Consider the following 25,693-nt stretch of genomic DNA (forward strand, 5'->3'; position numbering starts at 1 on the left):
TACAACCTCTGCCTCCCGGGTTCAAGGAATTCTGCCTCAGCTTCCCAAGTAGCTGGGATTACAGGCACCCACCATCACGCCGGGCTAATTTTTGTATTTTAGTAGAGATGGGGTTTCACCACGTTGGCCAGGACTGGTCTCAAACTCCTGACCTCAAGTGATCCACCCGTCTCAGCCTCCCAAAAAGTTCTGGGACTACAAGCATGAGCCACCGTGCCCGGCCCAAGCCCAAGACCTTGTCTTTAAAAAAAAAAAAGGATAACTAGGCGGGATTGCTACCTTATGGTCCCATTCTAAAACAATCTGTACCATCTACTACCTCATACTTTTAAGTTCACAATGCAAGTCTCAAAGCTACCCTGAAAACAATAATTCCTTTTGCCATGTTTTCAGGAATTCTAGGAACTAGTATTATTCCCAACATTCCTTCTATTTTAGCATGCTTTTCTGACTATAATACACTGTTGGGGGGAAAAATTAACTCTAAAACTCTTGACAGTATATAAGTAACTTGCTTTTCTCCCATTCTAGAAAGCCTATTGTATGCAAGAAAGCCTATTGTATGCAAGGGAAGAAGCTACATTCTAGCATTCATTTTCTTTCTAATAGAGCCAGGATCTTGCTTTGTCACCCAGGCTGGAATGCAGTGGTGTGATCATGGCTCACTACAGCCTTAGACTCCTGAGCTCAAGTGATCCTCCCACCTTAGCCTCCCAAGTAGCTAGGACTATAGGCAAGAGTCACCATACCTGAGTCTAGCATTCATTTTTTTTCTCTTTTTTTTTGAAACAGTCTCACTCTGTCACCTAGGCTAGAGTGCAGTGGTGCGATCTTGGCTCACTGCAACCTCTGCTTCCCAGGTTCAAGTAATTCTCCTGCCTCAGCCTCCCAAGTAGCTGGGACTACTACTTGGCATGTTTCACCCTGCCTGGCTAATTTTTGTATTTTTGGTAGAGACAAGGTTTCGTCATGTTGGCCAGGCTGGTCTTGAACTCCTGACCTCAGATGATCTGCCTGCCTTGGCCTCCCAAAGTGCTGGGATTACAGGCATGAGCCACTGTGCCGGGCCAAGCATTAATTTCCAGTTGCTTCTGTTTTATTAGTACTTACTTACAGCAATTTATTTGGGTAGCAAAGTTGAAAACCTCCAGCCCATCCCTCAGTCTTGGTCAGGAAAATATTCTAGACAACAGGCTCAAACAGTCTGATTTAATTAGGAAGTTAAATAAGTTGAGGTGGGGTGGAGTGGGATCATCAGAAGGCTGACATGGGACCGCTGGAGTTGGCAATCATAGCAGTGTGAGGTTGGCAAGGGGAGCAACCCCCTTCAAGACAAGGCACAAACTATTTGGCAAGGAGAGATGAGGGGTGGGACCTCACTGTCAATGGACATGCTCAGGGAGGCCAGTGGGTTACATGCAACAGGAGGATCATTCAGGCAACTTCAGCTATGAGGCTGGGCATCTGTGAGGGCTGAAGGCTCAGGCTGTTCTCAAAGGCTTGTGATTCACCTGGCAAAAAGACAACAGTAGATGACACTTGGGAACATTCGGGAGGCTGAGGCCCCTACTCTCCCGGGCCCCAGTTTAGACGAATGGGCTATAGGCAGAACACACACGGCCAGGGTTCTTTCTGGTGCCCTACCACCTGTTTCCCCAAACAAAGACATCAGGACCCACATACAATAAATCACTGAAGAGAGGAGAGGGGGCAGAGCCTTGTTTGCACACTCTCCTTAGCTCTGAATATTCTACTGCAGGCCTCCAGGAGGCTCCAAGGAACCCAGCTTGAAGGTCATTGGTATGATCCAGTGCTTTTATTTACATACGCTTTTTTTTTTTCTTTTTTTTTTTGAGACGGAATCTCACTCTATCACCCAGGCTAGAATGCAGTGGTGCGATCTTGGCTTACTGCAGCCTCCGCCTCCTGAGTTCAAGTGATTCTCCTGCCTCAGCCTCCCGAGTAGCTGGGATTACAGGTATGCGCCACCATACCCAGCTAATTTTTGTATTTTTGGTAGAGATGGGGTATCACCATGTTGGCCAGGGTGATCTCAAACTTCTGACCTCAGCTGATCGTCCACCCTGGCCTCCCAAAGTTCTGGGATTACAAGTGTGAGCCACAGCACCCAGCCCGAATATGCATTTCTTTCTCTTTTTTTTTTTGAGACAGAGTCTTGCTCTGTTGCCTAGGATGGAGTGCAGTGGTGCTATCTCGGCTCACTGCAAGCTCTGCCTCCCAGGTTCACACCATTCTCCTGCCTCAGCCTCCCCAGCAGCTGGGACTACAGGCACACACCGCCACGCCCGGCTGTTTTGTATTTTTAGTAGAGACGGGGTTTCACTGTGTTAGCCAGGATGGTCTCAATCTCCTGACCTCGTGATCCGCCCGCCTCAGCCTCCCAAAGTGCTGGGATTACAGGCATGAGCTACCGCGCCTGGAATTTTTTTTTTTTTTTGAGATAGAGTCTTATTCTGTCACCCAGGCTGGAGTGCAGTGGTGTGATCTCAGCTCACTGCAACCTTCGGCTCCTGGGTTCCAGCAATTCTCCTGCCTCAGCTTCCCGAGTAGCTGAGATTACAGGCATGCACCACCAAGCCTGGCTAATTTTTTTTTGTATTTTTAGTAAAGATGGTGTTTCACCATGTTGGCCAGGCTGGTCTCCAACTCCTAACCTCAGGTGATCTGCCTGCCTCAGCCTCCCAAAGTGCTGGGATTACAGGCGTAAGCCACTGCACCTGGCCCCATTTCTTTAACATACACATAATGCTTACTATATACCAGGCACTATTCTAAACACTGCAAATATTTGCTCGAGCCCCTCAACAATTCAACAGGGTAGTTTCTAATTATTAACCCAATTTTAAGATGAGGAAACAGGTATAGAGAGGTTGATTACTTGTCCAAGATTACAGCTAGCAGGCATTGTAGCTAGGATTCGCAACAAAACAGTGGTTCCAGAGCCTGTTTGCTGACTTCTACCATGATCTACAGGTGAATTAACTGGGGCGCTGAGAAAAGCAGTGATATGCCCTAGAATTAATTAACTGTCAATAGGCTGCAACTAGTTCCCTATACTAGTGGGGTGACCACAAGCACAGGTTGCAGAGACAGTCGACCTGGATTTCACTCCAGCTGCACTAGCAGAATGAGTAGGAACATGCTGGATGTTGAGTTTCTGGACTTTGTAAAATCCTATATACCCTAATGGTAGTTTGATTTAAAACAACTCATTTATGTAGAAGCTTAGCACTGTGTCTGGCACACAGAAAGTGATTAATAAACATCAATGACTCCCAGGCCTGGATGCTGGTTAAATGCTAGGCATACTGTGTCACACAACACAGGAACCTAGCAATTCTCCTCAGCTCCAACCTGAGACCTCACCTGGGAGATGCTCACGCCTGTGAGTCTTTCCACACTCTCTGGCAGGCGAGTTAGAATGTCCAGTACTTCCCCAGTCACTTTGGCTGCCCCCATGGTCCCACTGCCGCTGGACACCAGTGTGATCTTATTGGCTGAAGTCAAGGGACCACTGATCTCCTCTGCCACCTGGCAGGAGAGAGACACCCACTCAGTGCCCATGATCTGACCACATTCCTCATAAAACAACTTACTCTGGGTTTTAAGGTCCTCGTTCCACTGATCATCCTTCCTCACTTTGGTCACTAATAATTCCCACCCCTAATTTAGAGTCCCCCTAGGCTGTTTCTCCCTAAGCCCCTCACTACACCCCACCCCTTAGTCCCTGGTTCTATTTCCTCCTTTCTTGGTGCCCACATGACCTCCAGACCTGGGGCAGCTTCTCTAGCAGCATGTCCAGCTGAGCAGCCTCTTGGTACAGCTGGAAGGCTTCTGCCTTCTTGGCCATCTGCTCAGCCTCGGCTCGGGCTCGGGCCCCTATGGCAAAGGCCTCAGCTTCCCCACGCATCTGAGGGTTAAGGATGCTTGTGAGATTGACGGAAATCATTAAGAACAAGAAATCCCCGATCAAGCAGCAACCCCCACCCTCTCCACAAGCCAGCATGGAACTGCCTCTTAACTCACCCGCACAGACGCGGCTTCTGCCTCCGCCTGCATAATTAGTTGGGACCTGTGGACAGAAGGGAAGTGGAGGGTGGAGCCCAGCAGCCCTTACTCCCAGGAGAAAGGCCCAGTGCTGCAGAGGCAGACGCTCCTGAAACCTGAAATCCATAGGAGTCCAGGTGGTGAAGGCTTCAGCACTCCATCTTGGGGTGCCTAGGTGGCAAGTGAGCTAGGCAGGGTCAGGGAGGGGACATTTACTTCTCTGCCTCGGCTAGGCGCTCCAGCTTGTAGCGCTCCGCTTCCGCTGGCTTCCGCACCCGGGCCTCCAGCTCCTTCTCCCGCCGGGCGATCTCCTGCTCCTGCACTGCCACCTGCTGGGCCCGCTCCACCACCTGCACCTGCACCCGCTGCTCCTCAATCTGCTGCTTAGTCTTGGCCACCTGGGTAGGAGGGTGAAGTCAGGTTCACGCTCTGAGTCAGAGGTGAAGAGCAAGTGCCCGGGAACCAGAGCTCCAGAGTGGGATATAAAAATAGGAGCCGGTGGCCGGGCGCGGTGGCTCACGCCTGTAATCCTAGCGCTTTGGGAGGCCAAGGAGGGTGGATTGCCTGAGTTCAGGAGCTCGAGACCAGCCTGGCCAACATGGTGAAACCCTGTCTCTACTAAAATACAAAAAATTAGCCAGGTGTGGTGGCGAATGCCTGTAGTCCCAGCCACCCGGGAGGCTGAGGCAGGAGAATTGCTTGAACCTGGGAGGCGAAGGTTGCAGTGAGCTGGGATCACGCCACTGCACTCCACCCTGGGCAACAGAGTAAGACTCCATCTCCAAAAAAAAAAAAAAAAAAAAAGGAGCAGGTGCATGAAGGTGGGTTCCCTCCTGTCTGCTTGGCCAGTCCAGTGGAGTCCAGTGTTTCTCTGATGAGCCCCCGTTTAATCTATTTTTCCCACGTGTGCCCCCTTCTAGAGTATAAATACCTTGAGGGCACTGAGCACATGTTGGCTTTCTGCTATCTCCAGTCTTGCTCAAATCCCCCCACTGTTGCTGCGATAACCTTAGTGCTAGCCTAGGCTACTGCAATAGCTGACTTATTTTTTGTGGGGGTGGGGACAGGTGATCTTTTTTGTCTTTTGCACATGGTGCAGATTTAACAGAAAAAAAAGTGAACCACGAGGCTTCTTCCTCATTCTCCAAACCACCTGGGTCCCTTTCCCAGAGAAACCACCAAGACCAGCTTCTTGTGTATCCTTCCAGGGATACTCTGAACATCTACAAGAATGTGTGTATTCATAGAATTCCTCTTATTTAGGCAGATTTCTTTCTTTTTTTTTGAGGCAGTTTCGCTCTATTGCCCAGGCTGGAGTGCAGTGGCACGATCAGCTCAGTGCAACCTTCACCTCCCAGGTTCAAGCTAATCTCTTGCCTCAGCCTCTCAAGTAGCTGGGACTACAGGCATGTGCTACCATGTCTGGCTAATTTTTGTATTTTTTTTAGTAGAGACGGGGTTTCACCATGTTGGCCAGGCTGGTCTCAAACTCCTGATCTCAAGTGATCCATCCGCCTCAGTTTCCCAAAGTGCTGGGATTACAGGCATGAGCCATCGCACCCAGCCTAGATTTCATCTTCTTATTCCTTGCAGTGTGAGGGAATCAGAAGGCTCTTATCAAGATGCTAGTGAGGAGAGGTGCCAGGCAAGGAACACATTTTTTTTTTCTTTTTGAGACATCATCTTACTCTGTCACCCAGGTTCAATGGCGTAATCATGGCTCACTGCAGCCTTGACCTGCCTGGGCTCAGATGATCCTCCCGCCTCCCCCTCTAGAGTAGCTGGGACTACAGGTGTGAACCAGCACACCCGGCTATTTTTTGTACTTTTTGTAGAGACAGGGTTTTCTATGTTGCCCAGGCTGATCTCAAACTCCTGGGCTCACGTGATCCACCTGCCTCGGCTTCCCAAAGTGTTGGGGTTACAGGCATGTGCCATCACACCCAGCCAGAACACATGCCTTCGTTGTCCCATTGCTCAGGCTCAGCCATGCACCATCATCATTGTAGGTCTCATCAATACATGTGATGCTTCCCCTGCCTCCTACCTTCCCCCGGGCCCATCTGTTCACTCCAGAGAGAAGCATAGCTCTGGAGACGGCACTCTGTACTGTCTTTCACCCTAAATTTTCAAACCCGTTCCAAACTGGCCTCGTTGCCCTCTACACCGGTGTGCAGGATCACCTCTCTCCTGTGTCCCTTAGGCAACCATTTGTCTGTTTCTTTTTCCTTCCTGTCTATGCCCACCTTTTGGTGAAACTCAACCTCCAGAAGCTTCCTCAGAAAGAATATAAAGACAATATTTTTTCTGAGGTCTTGCTTTCTCTGAGATTTTTATTCTACCTTTTTTTGAGATGGAATTTCGCTCTTGGCACCCAGGCTGGAGTGCAGTGACGCAGTCTTGGCTCACTGCAATCTCCATCTCCCAGGTTCAAGCAATTCTCCTGCCTCAGCCTCCCATGTATCTGGGATTATAGGTGCCTGCCACCACGCTCAGCTAATTTTTGTGTTTTTAATAGAGATGGGGTTCCACCACATTGGCCAGGCTGGTCTTGAACTCCTTATCTCAGGTGATCCACCTGCTTCGGCTTCCCAAAGTGCTGGGATTACAGGCGTTAGCCACTGCACCCGGCCTCTACCCTTCTATTTTAATACCAGTTAGGCTGAAAGCAGGCTGCTATGTTGGGATTAACTTTCCATCAGAATTCTGAAGGCATTCCTCCATGGTTTTCTAGCTTTTTAAGAAATCTGGGCTTGGGCCAGTCATGGTGGCTCATGCCTGTCATCCCAGCACTTTGGGAGGCTGAGGTGGGCAGATCACCTGAGGTCAGGAGTTCATGACCAGCCTGGTCAACGTGGTGAAACCCCGTCTCTACTAAAAATACAAAAATTAGCCAGCAATGGTGGCACATACCTGTAGTCCCAGCTACTTGGGAAGCTGAGGTAGGAGAATCGCTTGAACCCAGGAGGCAGAGGTTGCAGTAGCTGAGATCACGCCATTGCACTCCAGCCTGGGTGACAAGAGCAAAAATCCATCTCAAAAAAAAAAAAAAAGAAAAGAAAGCTGGGCTTGATGCAGTGGCTCATGCCTATAATCCCAGCACTTTGGGAGGCTAAGGTGGGAGGATAACTTGAACCCAGGAGTTCAAGACCAGCCTGTGCAATATGGCAAGATCTCACCTCTAGAAAAAAATTTAAAAATTAGCTGGGCGTGGTGGTGTGCCCCTGTGGTCCCAACTACTGGGGAGGCTGAGGTGGGAGAATCACTTGAGCCTGGGAGGTTGAGGTTACAGTGAGCCTTGTTTATGCCACTGTATTGGACAACAGAGCAAGACCCTGTCTCTGAAAAAAAAAAAAAAAAAAAAAAAAAAGGAATCTGAAGTCATTTTGAAGCCTGCCTCTTTGAGATCTCTCTCTCTCTAGAAGCTTTCATATTTTTTGTCCTCAGCATTCTTAAGTTTCACAGTGTTATGTTTCAATGTATATATTTTTCATTCATTGCATTGGGCACTTAGTAGACCATTTCAATCTAAAACCTCATTTTTATATAATTTTTCTCAGAATGTTTCTGCTCCCAATAAGTCATGCCACATTTGCATGTGCTTGACTTTTTTTTTTTTTTTTGGAGATGGAGTCTCGCTCTGTCACCCAGGCTGGAGTGCAGTGGCATGATCTCATCTCACTGCAACCTCTGCCTCCCAGGTTCAAGTGATTCTCCTGCCTCAGCCTCCCGAGTAGCTGGGACTGCAGGCGCGTACCACCACGCCTGGCTAATTTTTTGTATTTTTATAGAGTTGGGGTTTCACCGTGTTAGCCAGGATGGTCTCGATCTCCTGACCTCGTGAGCCACCCACCTTGGCCTCCCAAAGTGCTGGGATTACAGGCATGAGCCAACACCCCTGGCCCTGCTTGACTCTTATTAGTCCCTTTCCCTTACTTCCCTGCTTCTTTCTGTGGGGTTTTATTTTTCCCCTTTGTCAGCTCTTGCCAGGTTACCAAGCATACCCTGTCCCTGGCTTTCTTGGTTGCTCCCAAATCTGTGATGGCTTGCTCTGTTGCCCAGGCTGGAATGAAATGGCACGATCTCAGCTCACTGCAACCTCTGCCTCCCGGATTCAAGTGATTCTCCTGCCTCAGCCTCCTGAGTAGCTGGGATTACAGTCACCATTTCAGCTAATTTTTGTGTTTTTAGTAGAGACGGGGTTTCACCATGTTGGCCAGGCTGGTTTCAAACTCCTTTGTCATCTGCTCAGAGGGAAGAAGGTCTCAACACTGAAAGGAAGCTCTGAGTATGTGGGTGAGGCTTGCTGACTTTGAGCTTCACCCTACGGTGATCTGGATAGGCCATGTACGGAGAAACATCTGATTCAGGATTTTAAGTTATTTCTTTTTGGATTGGTCATGTTCCCCAGAGCAGTCTTCTGATCTCTTTTTTGGAAGATGGAAGTTCTGGGAGCTGAGTGGGGTTGAGGGGGTTGGGGTTGGGGTTGGCTCTCAGTATTTAGCATTCATGAAAGTTATAGTCATTTCATGCCCCTGTTACTGGTAAACTATCTAGGTCCTCACCTGTGCTGGGCCAGCCCCCATCACATCCTCTAGTCTACTCTCTTCAGATAATAGACTTCCAATGGCAGGTATGGTAACTCACACCTGTAATCCCAGCACATTGTGAGGCTGAGGTGGATGGATCACTTGAGGCTAGCAGTTCGAGACCAGCCTGGCCGACATGGTGAAACCCCTCTCTACTAAAAAAAAAAAAAAAAATACAAAAATTACCTGGGCGTGGTGGTGGGCACTTGTAATCCCAGTTGAGGATTACTTGGGAGGGTGAGGCACGAGAATCATTTGAACCCAGGAGGCAGAGGTTGCAGTGAGCCGAGACTGCGCCACTGCACCTGCACTCCAGCCTGGACAACAGAGTGAGAGACCCTGTCTCAAAAAAAACATAAATAAAATAGATAAATAAGATAATAAACCTCCAGATGTCTGTTGGAGCAGGGCAGGAACCATTACCCAGAGGCAGTGAGGGGCTCTGAGAAGGTGCTTTTCACATGTTCCTCTTATTTAACCAGTCTACCACAGCTGGAGAAGCACTGGGTGCTGCCAGCTCCTGAGCCTCAGATCATTTCATTGTTTTCCCTTTTGCAGGTTTCAAGCTCAGCTGTGTCATACCTGCTTAGTCAATTACTACTGACTTCCAGTTTCCAAAATGATGCTCTGGTTTCCGTTCCTATTTTCTCCATCTTTTTTTTTTTTAAAGCCTAGTCAGCTGGGCATGGTGGCTCACGCCTGTAATCCTAGCATTTTGGGAGGCTGAGGCGGGAAGGATCCTTTGAGCCCAGGAGTTTGAGACCAGCCTGGGCAACATGGTGAAATTCCGTCTCTACAAAACATACAAAAATTAGCCAGGCGTGGTGGCATATGTTTGTAGACCAAGCTACTCAGGAAGCTGAGGTGGGAGTATTGCTTGAGCCCAGGCAGTTGAAGCTGTAGTGAGCTGAGATTGTACCGCTGCACTCTAGCCTGGGGGACCGAGTAAGACCCGGTCTCAAAGAGGAGAGGAGAGAAGAAAGAAGAGAAGAGAAGGAAAGAAAGGAAGAAAGAAAGACTAATCAAGTGCAATAGTGAGAAGTAGGTAAAGAGTAGAACAAGGAGTTCAATCTGTAACTGACTGAACAATCAATTGAGATAACTCACTACCTTTGGACAAGCCTCTATCTTTACCTTAAAAAAAATCATTTTAGATCGCGCCACTGCACTCCAGCCTGGGCGACAGAGCGAGACTCCATCTCAAAAAAAAAAAAAATCATTTTGGCTTTAGTGAGGTTTTAGGAGAGAGTAAAATTAGCTACATTTGTTTAATCCATCATCTCTGAAAAAGAGCCCAACTCATCTTTTGCTTTTTTTTTTGAGACAGAGTCTCACTCTGTCATCCAGGCTGGAGTGCAGTGGCGCGATCTCGGCTCACTGCAAGCTCCGCCTCCCGGGTTTATGCCATTCTTCTGCCTCAGCCTCCCGAGTAGCTGGGACTACAGGTGCCTGCCACCACGCCCAGCTAATTTTTTGTATTTTTAGTAGAGACGGGGTTTCACCATGTTAGCCAGGATGGTCTCGATCTCCTGACCTCGTGATCTGCCCACCTCGGCCTCCCAAAGTGTTGGGATTACAGGTGTGAACCACCGCACCCGGCCTTGCTTCCTCTCTTTGCCCGTTCTCCACAAGGCAACCAGACTGATCCCTATACAAATATAAATAAGACCATGGCACCTTTCTGCTTGAAGTTCTCCAATAGCTTTCCACTGTGCTTTCAGTTCTCTTCTGTGTCTCCATCGTGACCACACAAACCCTTTGTGATCTGGCCCTGCCTGCCTTTCCTCCTCACTCACAGCACACCAGCGCCCCCAGATCAGAAACCTCCTTTCTGACTCCACCTCACAGCCTTTGCACTTACTGGTCCCCTGCCTAGCCACAAGCCACGTATGACTGACTGACTGACTGACTGTCTGTCGTCCGTCCGTCCGTCCGTCCGTCCGTCCGTCCGTCCGTCCATCCGTCCATCCATCCATCCATATATCTATCTTAGAAGGAGTCTCGCTCTGTCGCCCAGGCTGGAGTGCGGTGGCGCAATCTCGGCTCACTGTGCCTTCTGGATTCAAGCGATTCTCACGCCTCAGCCTCCCAAGTAGCTGGAACTGCAGGCTCAAACCACCACACCCGGCTAATATTTTTTGTATTTTTGGTAGAGACAGGGTTTCACTGTTGGCCAGACTGGTCTCAAACTCCCGGCCTCAAGTGATCTTCCTGTCTCAGCCTCTCAAAGTGTTGGGATTACAGGCATGAACCACCGCGCCCAGCCACTTTTTAAGTATGACTACTTAAAAAGCACAGGCTAGAATATTCTTGGCTCAGAACTGTACATTGTTCCTTCTTATCTCCAAGTCTGATCTCAAACACCACTTCCTCATAGAAACTTTCTCTACCACCCGCTAACCTAATATACTAACTCCCCTCCCACAGTTTTTCACATCACCCTGTTTATTTCCTTCACAGCACCTAAACAAGAATTATAGCCTGGGAAGGTCATTTACTTGCTTACTAGCTGTTTCCTGTGTCATAATGTAAGCTGCATAAGGGCAGGAATCTTTTCTGCCTCACCTCCATATTTATAGCCTCACCTCCAAAATGGTGTCTAGCACATAGAAGGCACTTAACAGATATTTGTTGAATAAATCCTTCTTTCCTGAACACCTAGCACACTGCCTGGTGCATAACGAGAAACTGATAAAAGTTGAAAAGAGTCCAACCAGTCCAATCCCTTAATCTGCAGACAAGTAAGGTCATGTTTAGAAGGTTAAGAACCTTATCCATAGCTTCACTGCAAGCTAGCAGTTTCCATCATGGTAACCCTTTTCAAACTCAAACTCCAATGTGCATACAAATCACCTAGGAATTCACCTTGAGATTTTGTTAAAATGCAGGTTCTGATTCAGCTGGTCAGGGCCAGGGCCTGCAATTTTGTATTTCTAACAAGCTTCGCAGTGATGCTGCAGCTGCTGCTGGGTAGAACACAGTTTGAGTTGCAAAGCTGTATGCCATGTTCAACCTGTCAAGTCACCCAGGAATTTAACATAATAACAAAAGATGTTTTTACCTTCATTATGCTTTCAGCCTGTACCAACTCTTGGCAAAAACAAAATGCATAATATTGCTATCCTTTGGGTAAAGGTCTCAAAGTACAGTTGATTTTCATTGTTCTTGGTAGTTCTGTTCTATAAAGTAGCCATGAATGCTGAATTAGTTAATACCTAATTTGTTCCTAGAAGAAATACAGGCTAGGTTCCCGTGAGCCTCTGGTCAAAACATTTTCATCAACTGATCAACATAGAGCCTTGCTTTATATGTGTTTCTGTTTAAAGACACCTTATGTAAAATATATTGTTGATTCATTAACACTGAACTCACAGCTAACAGCAGTATAACTTATGCATGAACGAAGCTTACCTAACACATGTATTTCTCCCATAAGGCACATCATAGCCCGCTTGCACTAAAGGACACTAGACAGCACTACAGCACTGATGCTTGGGGGCCATTTTAAAGAGTGAATTCACCAATAAAAAGCACAAAAATGCAAAAAACACGGCAGTAAATATACTGTGAAAATAACACGGCTTACGGTATGAGAGCTGAAACAAGGCAGCAGAGCATCTCCTTGATCAACCTCACCTGGGTACTGTGCGTGTCTGCAAAAGATCCTGAAAGTGCTGCGACTTTATTGGTAACCTTTTGAGGTTACCAATACATTTTAGTGAATAGGCAAATTCTCAGATACGAATAATGAAGAATGAAGATCAACTATACTTCCTGGCAATATCAAGGGCTGCCCATATCTCACTTTGCAGGATTCAATGTCCAAGTCCATGTTTTCCTTCTTCATACCCTTTTTTAATTAACCAGGGCTGCCGCTAGCCCATAGCATGCCTCTGTGCAAATCAGAAATTCCTCTGTGTAGATGCAGACCCATGTCAGAATGCACTGCTTGATTAGAGGGGCATGGGCCGGATCTGAGCTCGGATCCACTTTCTCAGTCAGATGCCTTTGCACGGGCACAGCCTGCTCCAAACATATGATCAGCCTTATTGATCATATCCCTTCTTGGCCTTCTCTTTTTTTTTTTTCTTTTTTTGAGATGGAGTCTCACTCTGTCACCCAGGCTGGAGTGCAATGGCGTGGTCTCAGCTCACTGCAACCTCTGTCTCCCGGGTTCAAGCAATTCTCCGGCCTCAGCCTCCCAAGTAGCTGGGACTACAGGTGCGTGCCACCATACCTGGCTAATTTTTGTATTTTTAGTAGAAACAGGGTTTCACTATGTTGGCCAGGCTAGTCTCGAACTCTTGACCTTGTGATCCACCTGCCTTGGCCTACCAAAGTGCTGGGATTACAGGCATGAGCCACCGCGCGTGGCCTTTTTTTTCTCTTTTTTGGACAGGATTTCACTGTCACCCAGGCTGGAGTGCAGTAGTGTGATCTCGACTCACTGCAACCTGCGCATCCTGGCTCAAGCAATCCTCCTGCCTCATACCCCAAGTAGCTGTGACTACAGGCCCGAGCTGCCATGCCTGGCTAATGTTTGTATTTTTCGCATAGACACGGTTTCACCATGTTGCCCAGGCTGGCCTTGAACTCCTGAGGTCAAGCAATCAGCCCGCCTTGGCCTCCCAAAGTGCTGGGATTACAGGCATGAGTCACCACACCCGGCTGGCCTTTTCTTTAAAGCTTTTCAGCTGTAACGTCTGAGTCTTTTAAATCTCTCCTCATATGGGGGAGTTGGTCCAGAGATGGAGAGCCAGAATAAGACCAAAGTTAAAGTATGAGAAATAGTGTAGTGGTGTCCTGAGATGGACAGCCTGAGAGGAATGGGGAAGGGGCAGAGAGTGGCCTGGCAGTGGCTCTGACCTGAAGCTGATAGGCCAGGTCAGCCTGTGCTCGGCGGGTGTTGACCTCGATGTCATAGGCGGCCTTCTTCAGTTCGTAATCTCTCTGTGCCTTGGCCATCTCGATCTCACTCAGGTACTGAGCAGACACCTTTTCCTGCTTGGCTTTAGCTTCCTGTCCAAGCAGAGATCAGGTAGGAAATGTCAGGGCAGGGGGAGAAAGGCCACGGTGACAGCCTGCTTCCCACCAAGGTTCTCTTTCTGCCTCATGTATTTTCCCTGCTCACCCAGCACCCCTGCTTCTTCTCAGTTGTGCCACTTCTATCCCCTTTCCCACTAAGCAACCCCCATCTCTCTCACCCGGATCCCAGCATCTCTCTTGGCCTCTGCTTCTCCAATCCGTGCATCTTTTTGGACTTGAGCTGTTCGAGCCTTCCCCAAAGAGTGCAAATAGTCCTGTGGGAGAGATGTAGAAATTAGTCCTTTGGAGGGCTTAAGAGATGGGAGCAAGGAAGTGGGGAAGGATCAATTGCCTAGTTTTACCTGGTCATCGTGAATGTCCTTCAGAGTGTAGCTAACCACACTGATGCCCATGTTGACCAGGTCTGAGGAGGCCACTTTGAAAACCTGTTCTGAGAATTTCTGCCTGTCCTTATAGATCTCCTGTGATAACAGGATGGTGGGGAGAAGGGATGTAAGTTTTTTTTTTTTTTTTTTTTTTGCTCACTGCAACCTCTGCCTCCTGGGTTCAAGTGATTCTCCTGCCTCAGCCTCCCAAGTAGCTGGGATTACCGACACCCATCACCATACCCAGCTAATTTTTGTATTTGTAGTAGAGAAGGGGTTTCACCAGGTTGGCTAGGCTGGTCTCGAACTCCTGACCTCAAGTGATCTGCCCACCTTGGCATCCCAAAGTGCTGGGATTACAGGCATGAACCACCCTGCCCGGCCGGGATGTATGCTCTTGGATCCACTGTCTCTCACAGACTAGTGTGGGCCTTGGGCCCCCCTCATTTTGACATCCTTCCAGATGGTTCCCTGCCCCTAGGCCAACCTCCACAGTCATGTGGGCCATGATGGCCCTCTGGTGGCCCTCTAACGTCTCCAGGGCAATGTGGGCAATCTCAGCCTCCGTCTTCCCCAGGAACATCTGACAGGCGGCCGCCAACATCTCCTTGTTCTGCCCCTGGATTTTTACCTGTAGCCAGAGTAGGGGTAGGAAAGGTGTGGTGGGGGTCTCATGAAGTCAGAGAAAAAGCAGAGAGAGAAGGGAGAGCCCTCTAAGAAATGCTTCTTCCATTTCAGGGAAAGAAAGGAGGAGGAGGCAAGTGCCTTGGGGTGCCTGGAAAAGATGAGACTAGCAGAGGAACTTCTCTGCAGGCAAGGGTTGAGAAGACTGTGGCCAGAAGATGTCTTAATGTCTGGGAGAGAGGGTGATGGGGAAGTGGACTGTGGGGAAAAGGCTCTGAAAGCTTCACCTGGGCAATGCCAGTGACTGAGATGGGGACCCCATGGCGAGTGTAAACCTTTTCACTCTTGACATTGAGGGTCAGTGTGTTGAGAGAGATCCTAGGGGAAAAAGAAGGGACAGACAGTAAGAAGAGGAGGAAAAAGAGAAAACGGAGGTCCCCCTTCCCTGGTTCCCTTCTTGCCTACCTCTGGATCTGTTGGATGCAGGGCAGGACAAAGACACGCCCTCCAGCCACCATGACTGGGGGGCTTCGGCAGAACCCTGCAAGGTGTGGGGCAGTGAGGAACGGTGGCAGAGCTTGAATGTGGAAGACTGAGGAACTGGCGGGGGTGAGGGGACAGCAACCCACAGGAGAGAATCTGGGAGCTGGAGGGGAAGCAGTCTGGGCCTTGGAATGGTGGGAATCAAACTGGGCAGTTCGTGGCCATCAAGGGGCAGAAGTCTGGTGCTGGGAAGTTGGTAGGGAGAGGGAGAAGGGGCAGAGGCCAGACTCACAGGGGTTCTGGGGTCACTGGCTGGGAAGGGAACAACAGTACTTACCGGAGACCACCATGGCCTCATTTGGGCCACAAGTGAAAAACATGGTTCAGGCTGGAGCTGGAGGAGAGGGAGGGAAAGCCTTTGCGGATGGGGAAGGCGCGCTGTGGCGTCCACAGGGGCCCATCCTTTCCCTTTCCCGTCAGGCCCTCCCAGTCTGCATCCGCCACGGCCCGTCCCTTCTACACCCATGGGTCCGCTAAGGCTTTTCCCTACAAAATCCTTAAGATCCCCAGCTACCTCTTCTCCGCCTGCGTATGGTCCCTCCCTTCCCCTCGCCGCTCCCTTTGATAAAGGTCCCCCGCGCCCAGAGGCCTGCAGACCTTTCCCCTCTCTCCCTGCTTCTCGGCAGCCCCAGGCTCCATCTCCCCTCCCCCACTCACCTTCCGGGACGCGGGCGGCAGCCCGGCTGGGGTCTCGGGAAGGGCGGGGTCGCGCAGGGACCTGGGAGCCGGGCAGGGGCCGCTCGCAGACCAGCTTTCCTGGGAGCTGGCCCCGCTCCCGCGTTCCCCACCCTGCCGCACCCCGTTGCTGCGGCAGACGCGACCCCGCCCCCCGCAACGGACTAAGCACCCCCACTTCGCCCCGCCTCGGCCCAGTGCGCTCGGCCCGCCCCTTTCCCGGCAGGCCCCGCTAGAGTCCGCAGCCCGCCCGCCCGCTGGCTCTCGGGCCCAGCCGGGCTGCCTGGTTAGCCCGGGGAGGGCCACATCCCTGCCGCCCCAGTCACCGCCCTTCTTGAGCCGGGAATCCCGCCCACGCCGCGCCACGCTCCGCCCCCGGGTGAGGGACTTGACCTCCGCCTGGCACCCTGGCGTAAGGGTGATTGCCACATCTCGGATTCGCCGCGGGGCAACTACCTGGGAAAACCGCAGACTGGGCAATGAAAGACTACATCCGGCAACCGGATGCTGGGTTCTGTGACTCCAGGAAAAGGGGCTCCTGGGCCCAGGGAGGTGCGCGGGCTGGGGACTCGGCCACGGCGCCTCCCGCCGGTCCTTGCCATCTGAAGGCCGGGAGGAGTGGGGAGTCGGCGCTTGCAAAGATACACTCAAGACTGCAGACAGTAAATCAATTTTATTTGTGTTCACAGAACATACTAGGCGATCTCGACAGTCGCTCCGTGACAGCCCACCAACCCCCAACCCTCTACCTCGCAGCCACCCTAAAGGCGACTTCAAGAAGATGGAAGGATCTCACGGATCTCATTCCTAATGGTCCGCCGAAGTCTCACACAGTAGACAGACGGAGTTGAGATGCTGGAGGATGCAGTCACCTCCTAAACTTACGACCCACCACCAGACTTCATCCCAGCCGGGACGTCCTCCCCCACCCGAGTCCTCCCCATTTCTTCTCCTACTTTGCCGCAGTTCCAGGTGTCCTGCTTCCACCAGTCCCACAAAGCTCAATAAATACCAAGAGACCTGCATTTACAGCAGGGGGAACATCTCACACCCTTGCATAAGTTAAAATAAATATTACGTACACATCTCCATCACCTAGGAGGACGTACATAAATACATATAAATATTAATTAGGAGCAATAAGAAATAAATTAACGACGCTCTCCTTCCCACCGGGCCTAGCCCCAGCTGGGCTGTGCCTCGGTCTCTATGCGCCTCGGTCTCTGTGCGCCTCGGTCCCGCCTCAAGCACCGGGTGGCGTCTCCGCTGTAGTGTTCTGAGTTCAAGTTGCCTCGGAAGTCCCAGTTGGGGATACGCTCTCGCGCACCAGGTACGCCTGGTGTTTCTTTGTGGTTTTTCGGATTCTTTTTGGGGAGTGCGGGGAGTCACAGTTAGAAGGCGGCCGGGTGTTGCTGGAGGAAAGTGCTGAGGTCCAGAGCGTAGTCCGAGGGCTCCGAAGTCAGATTAAAGGGCTCGAGGACGGCGGACACAGGGGTGGGCGCCAGGGATGCGGCGTTAGGGGCGTCCTCTGGAGGCAGGGGCGCCGGCACACCCTCTTCAGCCATCAGGATCTGGCAGAAGACGATGGTGAGCAGCAGAAAGAGAAGCCTTTTGGCTGGGTTCGGTTCCTCGACTGGCAGCTGGCGCCGGACCTAAGGGGAGACAAAACAGGAGACAGGTCAGGTCGAGGCCTCTGGAGTCGGGTCGTTCCCCAGTGACTCCAGGGCAGCGCACCCCGCGAATGCCCACTTCGGCGATACTCACCACTCGAGGGTAGAGAACCCTGCGGCTGCGCTTTCGGTGCCCGCGAGAGGCGCTGGGGCGCCCGGCAGGGGCCGCTGCGGGCTCCGGGAGAGGGTCGAAGGTGAAGATCTCAGGACCGGAGCCCCGCCGGGGTCCCGGGATGGTGGAGGGGGCCGGGGTCGGGGCCTGCAGGATGGTCATGGTCGGGTGGCAGCTGCGAGAGTGACACATGGTGAGCCGAGCGGAGTGTAAGGCCAAGTGAGGGTCGGCTGCCGGCAGAGGTAATTTATGTGCTCCTGAAAATTGGGCGGGTCCTTCTAACTCCTCCTCCCGCAGCTGGGGAGCGGTTGGCAGCAGCGGGCTGGAAATTCCGACGATTAAACAAAGGGAGTGGGTGGAGACTTGACATGCACAATCCTAGGCGCCCAACTGCACGTTGTGAGTGTGTGAGTCGTGAGTGGGGGTGGGTGAGATCCCGGGCTGCAGGCACATGTCGAGGCATGTGGCACCTGGAGAGGGGCTCACTTTAGCCACAGGATCCCTCACAGGCCTTTTTTTTTTTTTTTTTTTGGAGATGGAGCAGTCTCGTTCGGTCGCCAGGCTGGAATGCAGAGGCGCGATCTCGGCTCACTGCAACCCCTGACTCCCTGGTTCAAGCGATTTTCCTGCCTCAGCTTCCTGAGTAGCTGGGAATACAGGCACGCGCCACCACGCCCAGCTAATTTTTGTATTTTTAGTAGAGACGGGGTTTCACCCTGTTGGCCAGGGTGGTCTCGATTTCCTGACCTCGTGATCTGCCTCGCTCCCTCCGTCCTTCTTCTAGTAGTCTCAAGTTGCTATTGTTGCCATCTTTACGTCCACGAGTTCCCAATGTTTGGTTCCCACTTATAAGTGAGAATGTATGGTATTTGGTTTGCCCGCCTCGGCCTCCCAAAGTGCTGGGATTACAGGCGTGAGCCACCGTGCCCTGCCAAGAGGGCTTTTTATTGGAGATCAGGCCATCCTGCTGCAATACTGACCCAGTTATATGCACGCATTCATGCACTTGTAGGTATCCTTAGAATATAAACTCCCCAAGAAGGAAATTGTTACAGAAATAGTCAAGATTAAGGGAGAAATGAACACACTAGCACACACAGACACAAACCTGCCTGCCTGAGCACACATGAAGACACACACCGCGTAGCCATACAAAAGAACAAAATTATGTGCTTTGCAGCAACATGGATGCGGCTGGTGGCCATTATCCTAAGCGGATTAACTCAGGAACAGAAAACCAAATACCACACATTCTCACTTATAAGTGGGAACCAAACATTGGGAACTCATGGACATAAAGATGGCAACAATAGCAACTTGAGACCAGTAGAAGAAGGACGGAGGGAGTAAGGCAAAGGTTGAAACACTAACTATTGGGTACTATGCTCAGTACCTGGGTGACAGGATCATTCATACCCCAAACCTCAGCATCATGCAGTATACCTAGGTAACAAACCTGCACATATACCCCAGAATTTAAAATAAAAGTTGGGGAGGGAGGGAAGGATAGAAAGATTAAAAAAGTAATACACAATGGTGGGGCATGGTGGCTCTTGCCTGTAATCCTAGCATTTTGGGGGGCTAAGGTGGGAGGATCACTTGAGCTCAGGAGCCTGGGCAACATAGTGAGACCTTGTCACTATAAAATAACAACAACAACAACAACAATACACAATTAAATATTATTCAGCCATAAAAAGAATGCAATCCTGGAAAAAAAGGAAAACATACCACGTACACCTACCAACACACATGTACACAGTAAAGGTGCAAAGACTGTATAGGGACAGTTCAGCAAAACTACTCTCTTAGGAGCGTGCAGAAATATTCACATAAAGGCTGGTGCAGAGGGCCACAAATACAAAGGCAATAGGTTAGCAGCCACCCAGATTTGCCCCTTGCTGTAAGTCAAACAACCAAATTTATGGGACAAACATTCTAAATTGTGAGACATTATACAAATGTTACAGTAATGGTAATTACTCAACTTAAAGCAGATTCACATTTCCATAACTTCCTTACAGACAGCTGCTCATGGACACAGAATTTAACTTTTTTTTTTTGTTTTGAGACAGGATCTGGCTTTGTCGCCCAGGTTGAAGTGCAGTGGCATGATCTCGGCTGACTGCAACCTCTGCCTCTTGGCTCAAGCCATACTCCTACCTCAGCCTCCTGAGTAGCTGGGACCACAGGTGAGCACCACCATGCCTGGCTAATATATATATATATATATATATATATATATATATATATATATATATATATATAAAATTTTTTGTAGAGCCAGGGTTTTGCCATGTTGCCCAGGCTGGTCTTGAACTCCTGAGCTCAACCAATCTGCCTGCCTCGGCCTCCCAAAGTGCTGGCAGCCACCGTGCAGAATTTAACATCTTTTGAGCATTCACCTGTTTCAGGCGCCCTCTGTTGAGGGTACTACTGTTGAGAGTCCTGAGGCTAGTTTCAGTATAAGTGCTGTGCCATGCAGCTGCCTGAGGAAAGCCAGATAAAGCTGATACTCCAGCCATGAGGGCCTTACCCTCCGGCATGAGGAGGGAACCATGGCCAGGAGAGCTCTCTATCTGTCTGTCTCTGTTGCTCTCTCTCTCTCTCTTTTTTTGTTATATTGAGTTTCTGCCTGAAGGAAAGGCAAGCTTTCTTGAAGATCCTAAGAAAGGCCAGGCACGGTGGTTCACACCTGTAATCCCAACACTTTGGCAGGCCGAGGCGGGTGGATCATTTGAGGTCAGGAGTTCGAGACCAGCCTGGTCAACATGGTGAAACCCTGTTTCTACTAAAAATACAAAAATTAGCCAAGCATGGTGGCGCATGTCTGTAATCCCAGCTACTCGGGAGGCTGAGGCAGGAGAATCGCTTGAACTCAGGAGGCAGAGGTTGCAGCAAGCTGAGAGCGTGCCACTGCACTCCAGCCTGGGTGACAGAGTGAGACCCTGTCTCAAAAAAACAAGAACAAAACAAAAAACAAAAACAAAAACAAAAAAACCTAAGAAAACTGAAGACTAAGTGTTAAGGGGGGGACCCAAAAGAGCTAGTGTTCACATCTGTCCAATCAATCAGGGGAGGCTTCATGGAAGAGTGGCACTGAAGGTGACCTTGAACAGTGGGTGGGATATGACAAATTCAGATGTGGAGGATGACTGTAAGAATGGAATTAGCAAAGACCTTGAGCTGGAAAAGTACAGGATGTGTTTGGGGAATCACAAGAAAAACAATCTCAGAGTAAGTTTCCTGTAACGGAGTAGTGGGAAGTAATAATGGCTGGAAAGGAGTGGAATTGGGCAGAGTGGGGAGAGCAGAGCTGCCAGGTCAGGAGCCTGGGTTTCACTCTAGACTGTAGAGCTTGTGGGTTGCTGGATGAGATAAAGGGAGGAAAATTCAAGCAGGAAACTGATTGGGATGAGGAGTGATGCTCTGGACGGGTAGAGACTAAGGCAGTAGACAGGAGGCTATTGGAGGGGCTCAGGTAGATGATAACAAGAGCCTGAGAAGGTGGCCCTAAGAGACATTCCTAGCATAAGATAATCAGAATTGGGCAATGAGATGGATATCATTAGGGGAAGGGAGCATGGGAGAGGGAGAGTTGCCGACAGCAAGAGGATGAAAAGATCTGAGATGACTCCAGAGATTTGAAATACATCTGGCTCAGATCTTTCTACCATCATTTTAAGCCTGGTGCACAAAGTGAATACATATATGATCTCTTCCACTGGAGGCTGTGTCATACACATCTTTGTGTCCTCCAGAGAACCCAGCATGGTACCTTGTAGGCAGCAGTTGCTCAATAATCTTGTTAAATGCCAGGTGAAATGTACAACTGTAAGTGTGCATGTAGTATTCCCACCTTGGCTGGGTCACACCAAGCTTCTGAGATGTGGCTACACTCCTCCAAACCACTCATACAAATGTACAACATCTTTAGAAAAGCTGGGACAATTCTTACACAGACACCAAACAGGAAACACTTTTCTCCCCTCCCACTTAGGAAACACTTAAAAGGATTTTTCAATCAAGAACATGTAGGAACACAAATAAGAGGACAGGCCACAACCGGCTAGAAATACACTACTGCTCTGTGTACAATTCCTGGGCCTACAAGTCACTTTATTTTATACTCACTACTCTTATCTAAATACACAAGATCCCTTCCACATTACACACTTCTTCCTGGCTGGCATAAAACACACCTCCTCTGTAAACAAAGGCGCATTGCTTTCCCACGCCTGTCTTCACACCTGCCATCATTCTTACATTTACACCCAAGCACAGGGAGCCCACCACCCCCAACATCCTTATTCCAAGGCAACTCGCACGCTACACAATGACCAACATAAACCCATGACTACTTACACATGTGGACAGACCCTCACACTCACATAAACATAAATTGGGAGTAGGGGGAGATAGTGATGATGGAAGAAAACTAGTGGGTGGGAGAGAGAGAGAAGCACCAAAGGTTAGGAATGCATTACTTGTTTATGATGGAAAATTTCTCTAGGGCATTAGGCAGAGGAGGGGAAATGAAGGGGATGCCAGGATCTTGTTTTGCCACTACCTCCCACATCTGGAATCTGGGCCTCCAGCTGGGTCTAGTTATCCTCGCTGTCCTCCCGGCACAGAGAGACCTTTCTTTGTGGCAAGACCAGAATGGGACAAAGAGAAGACCTGAGAACCCGGACTGCTCACCATTCCCAACCAATCCCATCCCCATTCCTGCTACCCTCAGAGCCCTAGGGCTCTGCTCCTGCTCCTTCCTGCCACACAGGAAGCTAGGGAAATGTTGGGGGTGAATCATTAAGCCAATAAGGGGGTGGGGGAGTGCAGGCTGGGGAATGAGTTAAGGCCAGAAAGTGCCAGGGGCTGAGACGAGCAACTGGACTGGCTCCCACTGCCCTGATACTGGAGAAACAGGCCCTTAGCCTCCTCCATTTCCAGCTCTCCTCCTCATTTCCTTCCCATCTTCCCCCAGATCACCATGTTCCTTCATTTCCCTCGTTTGACCTTTGCCTTGATCCATCACCACTGCTAGCCTCCTTCTCAGCCCCTTGTTTTTCTTCATGACACATATCACGTTGGGGAATCATTTTATGTATTTGCTTTTTGCTGTTGTTTGTCCCGCCTACTGGAATATAATCTCCACGAGTGTACAGGGCCACATCTGACCTTTTTCTCATTAGATCTCTGTAGTATCTCCAGTACTTGGCTGTCACCTAGTAGGAACTTAATAAATATTCTTAAATCTGTCTCCTCCGAGGAGCTAAACCTCATCTGCAGAGAGGTCTGTTTATCTAGCCATGTTCCTTTAGAGGCCCCCATGTTTGCTCTTCAAAGAGGAGGTTGGGGGCACTCAGGTGTGGCTCAGGTGATCCGCCGCTGAATCAGGAACAATTGTGCAGTGACGACAGCGACAGCAAAGCCCTGGCCCGCGCCCTTTACAATCCCTGACATAGGAGTGAGTCAGGCCTGCTGCCTCACCTGGGTACTGCTGCACTGCTGACCACAGGCCCAGAACGGGGGACGGCAAGAATGGGCACTGGCGGAGGCAGAATGGGCAGGGGAAAGGGAGGCAGAGATTTGGAAATGGGAGCATCTGAGAAAGGAAAGCAGGGTGAAGGGACTGCACCAGGGTCCTGGGGGTAGGGAATGACAAAGTGAAAGCTTTTTAGCTGCACCTGGTATTCAGTAGATCCTCAATAACTACTTGGTGACTTGAGATGGGTTTGAGATAGAAAGGAAACACGGAATAGCAAAAAGAACATATTGTAATCTAGTGGTGTTAGACGAAATTGGGTTTAAGTGCCAGCTCTGCTACTTATTAACTAGGCAATATTGGGCCAGTTACTTAATGTTGCTGAAAATCTGTTTCCTCAATTGATAAATGGGCAAATTGACCTCTAGGTAACTGCAAAGGTTAAGAATATAAATTTACTCCTTCTGGGCACATAGTAGGTGCTTCTTGCATGGAGCAGGGGCATTATTATAATTATGAGAAGAGGGACTGCTTTGGAACAGGGATGGGCAGCAGTGAGCCAACCCAGGAGTAGGGAACTGGAATGAGAAAATAACCTCTAACTGCTAACATCACCAGGAGATACAAGTTCTTTCTCTTTTTACTCTGCCCTCCCTCCCTCTCCATATCAGGCAGGTTTTGTGGCTCTTTATTTTCCAGAGAAGCAAAGACTTCTGCATTCCTAGTTCCTGTTCAACTAATGTGAGTGATTTTATTTTTTTATGTATGTATTTATTTATTTTTTGAGACAAGATCTCACTCTCTCACCCAGGCTGGAGTGCAGTGGCATAAACATGGCTCACTGCAACCTCAACCTCCTGGGCTCAAGTGATCCTCCCACCTCAGCCTCTTGAGTAGCTGGGACTCCAGGAACGTGCCACCATGCCCAGCTAATTTTTATTTATTTTGGTAGAGACAGGGTCTTGCCATGTTGCCCAGGCAGGTCTCAAAATTCTGGGCTCAAGCGATCCTCCCGCCTCAACCTCCCAAAGTGTTGGGATTACAGGCGTGAGCCACAAAGTCTGGCCTTTATTTATTTAAAAAATTTAGTTTGGCTGGGCGTGGTGGCTCACGCCCATAATCCCAGCACTTTGGGAGGTTGAGGTGGGTGGATCACGAGGTCAGGAGTTCGAGACCAGCCTGGCCAACATGGCAAAACCCCGTCTCTACCAAAAATACAAAAATTAGCTGGGCGTGGTGGCGTGTGCCTGTAATCCCAGCTACTCGGGAGGCTGAAGCAGGAGAATTGCCTGAACCAGGGAGGCAGAGGTTGCAGTGAGCTGAGATTGCACCACTGCACTCCAGCCTGGGCGACGAGAGTGAAACTCCGTCTTAAAAAAAAAGAAAGTCTTACTCTGTCGTCCAGGCTGGAGTGCAGTGGCACAATCTCGGCTCACTGCAACCTCTGCCTCCCGGGTTCAGGCGATTCTCCTGCTTCAGCCTCCCGAGTAGCGCATGCCACCATGCCCGGCTAATTTTTGTATTTTTGGTAGAGATAAGGTTTCACCATGTTGGCCAGGCTGGTCTGGAAAACTCCTGACCTCACGTGATCCGCCCCCTCGGCCTCCCAAAGTGCTGGGATTACGGGCGTGAGCCACCACACCCAGCAAAAAAAAAAATTTGTTTTTACTCACCACTATACTGACAAGGAACAGGTGATTTTAAACATCCCCTCCCACCTACATTTTAGCTGGAACAATTCTCCAGAGGCATGGGGGTAGAGTGGGGTGGTGAGTTCTAGGCAGCAAGTTAACAAATGACCCCTAAAGATATTCATCTAGGCTCTAGGAGGCCCAAAATCAGGCCCTGGCAGTTCCCCTGACGCAAAACCATGGCAAGAGTTCCGGGAGCACCAAGGCAAGGTCACAAAAGTGGCACGATGACCCTACCCTGGGATGCAGCTCAGCCTGACCCAGCCCAACTCAACCCAGCTACCCTGGAGGCTGCTATGAGCTGAGCCGGGAGCTGGGAAAGGGCCCAGCATTCCTGTCCTTCTGCCAAAGCCGGCTTCTTAGGACCCCAGTGTTGTGGCTCCTCCTTTGGTCTTGGTTTCTTTCCCACCAGATTATAACTCCACCAGAGTAGGACTTTATCTATCTTGTGTACTGCTCTATTTTCAGTGCCTAGAACTGTGCCTGTCAATCAATACAGGCTGCTGAAAAGGCTAGAAATACAGGATCGTTGATGTCATTACTGTTACAGTGCTGTTCCCGTGGGAAGCAGCCTGCATCTCTCTGTAGACAGCTCCAATGTCAGCCATTGGAGAATTTGATGGAGATTGAAGTCAAAACATAATCATAGGGGAAAAATGCACAACAAATAAAATATTTCCCCTTTTGTCCAGACTTTTCAGACACCCCGTATTTACTGGATGAGTTGATCTACAAAGTGAAAGGCATAAATTAAAGGCTCTCTAATGTTTCTCCTCCTCTGAAACCCCATGATTCAGCAGCGTCTCCCATGTGTGCTCAAAAGTT

General features: G+C 49.8%; 2 protein-coding genes, 1 long non-coding RNA gene and 1 pseudogene across 9 annotated transcripts, besides 3 other annotated features; 2 read left to right on the plus strand and 2 right to left on the minus strand.

Annotated features, from left to right (window-relative positions):
* On the minus strand, window positions 1,075-16,053 carry FLOT1 (flotillin 1). 7 transcript variants are annotated; one of them, NM_005803.4, is made up of 13 exons: window positions 15,893-16,053; window positions 15,513-15,569; window positions 15,158-15,233; window positions 14,980-15,070; window positions 14,556-14,699; window positions 14,045-14,164; window positions 13,862-13,957; window positions 13,524-13,676; window positions 4,285-4,466; window positions 4,048-4,093; window positions 3,794-3,931; window positions 3,388-3,552; window positions 1,075-1,511 (listed from the first exon to the last, which is right to left on the minus strand). In NM_005803.4, the coding sequence occupies exons 2-13, from the start codon at window positions 15,553-15,555 to the stop codon at window positions 1,482-1,484; spliced, it is 1,284 nt and encodes a 427-aa protein (NP_005794.1). In that variant the 5' UTR covers window positions 15,556-15,569; window positions 15,893-16,053; the 3' UTR covers window positions 1,075-1,481. The 7 variants fall into 7 exon arrangements, with proteins under 7 accessions (NP_005794.1, XP_016865646.1, XP_005248837.1 ...); XM_017010157.2 differs by lacking the exon at window positions 15,893-16,053 and adding an exon at window positions 15,833-15,877 and having other exon boundaries at window positions 15,158-15,165; XM_005248780.4 differs by lacking the exon at window positions 15,893-16,053 and adding an exon at window positions 15,833-15,877.
* Window positions 3,708-4,332: an enhancer, noted in NCBI's record as "H3K4me1 hESC enhancer chr6:30698119-30698743 (GRCh37/hg19 assembly coordinates)". NCBI's record gives its function as "activates a minimal SCP1, AML or CMV promoter by ChIP-STARR-seq in primed H9 embryonic stem cells {active_cell/tissue: H9 hESC(primed)}" and the evidence as "EXISTENCE:reporter gene assay evidence [ECO:0000049][PMID:30033119]".
* Window positions 14,938-15,818: an enhancer, noted in NCBI's record as "H3K27ac-H3K4me1 hESC enhancer chr6:30709349-30710229 (GRCh37/hg19 assembly coordinates)". NCBI's record gives its function as "activates a minimal SCP1, AML or CMV promoter by ChIP-STARR-seq in naive H9 embryonic stem cells {active_cell/tissue: H9 hESC(naive)}" and the evidence as "EXISTENCE:reporter gene assay evidence [ECO:0000049][PMID:30033119]".
* A 275-nt stretch (window positions 16,054-16,328) lies between the features above and the next one.
* On the plus strand, window positions 16,329-17,039 carry IER3-AS1 (IER3 antisense RNA 1). Its single transcript, NR_149095.1, has 2 exons — window positions 16,329-16,462; window positions 16,600-17,039. It is a non-coding gene; the product is annotated as an IER3 antisense RNA 1 (long non-coding RNA).
* IER3 (immediate early response 3) lies at window positions 16,565-17,913 on the minus strand. Its single transcript, NM_003897.4, has 2 exons — window positions 17,675-17,913; window positions 16,565-17,562 (listed from the first exon to the last, which is right to left on the minus strand). The coding sequence occupies exons 1-2, from the start codon at window positions 17,882-17,884 to the stop codon at window positions 17,302-17,304; spliced, it is 471 nt and encodes a 156-aa protein (NP_003888.2). The 5' UTR covers window positions 17,885-17,913; the 3' UTR covers window positions 16,565-17,301.
* Window positions 16,700-17,580: an enhancer, noted in NCBI's record as "H3K27ac hESC enhancer chr6:30711111-30711991 (GRCh37/hg19 assembly coordinates)". NCBI's record gives its function as "activates a minimal SCP1, AML or CMV promoter by ChIP-STARR-seq in naive H9 embryonic stem cells {active_cell/tissue: H9 hESC(naive)}" and the evidence as "EXISTENCE:reporter gene assay evidence [ECO:0000049][PMID:30033119]".
* On the plus strand, window positions 24,404-24,655 carry RN7SL353P (RNA, 7SL, cytoplasmic 353, pseudogene; annotated as a pseudogene).

Source organism: Homo sapiens, chromosome 6, assembly GCF_000001405.40.
Source record: "Homo sapiens chromosome 6, GRCh38.p14 Primary Assembly".
NCBI classification, from domain to species: Eukaryota; Metazoa; Chordata; class Mammalia; order Primates; family Hominidae; genus Homo; species Homo sapiens.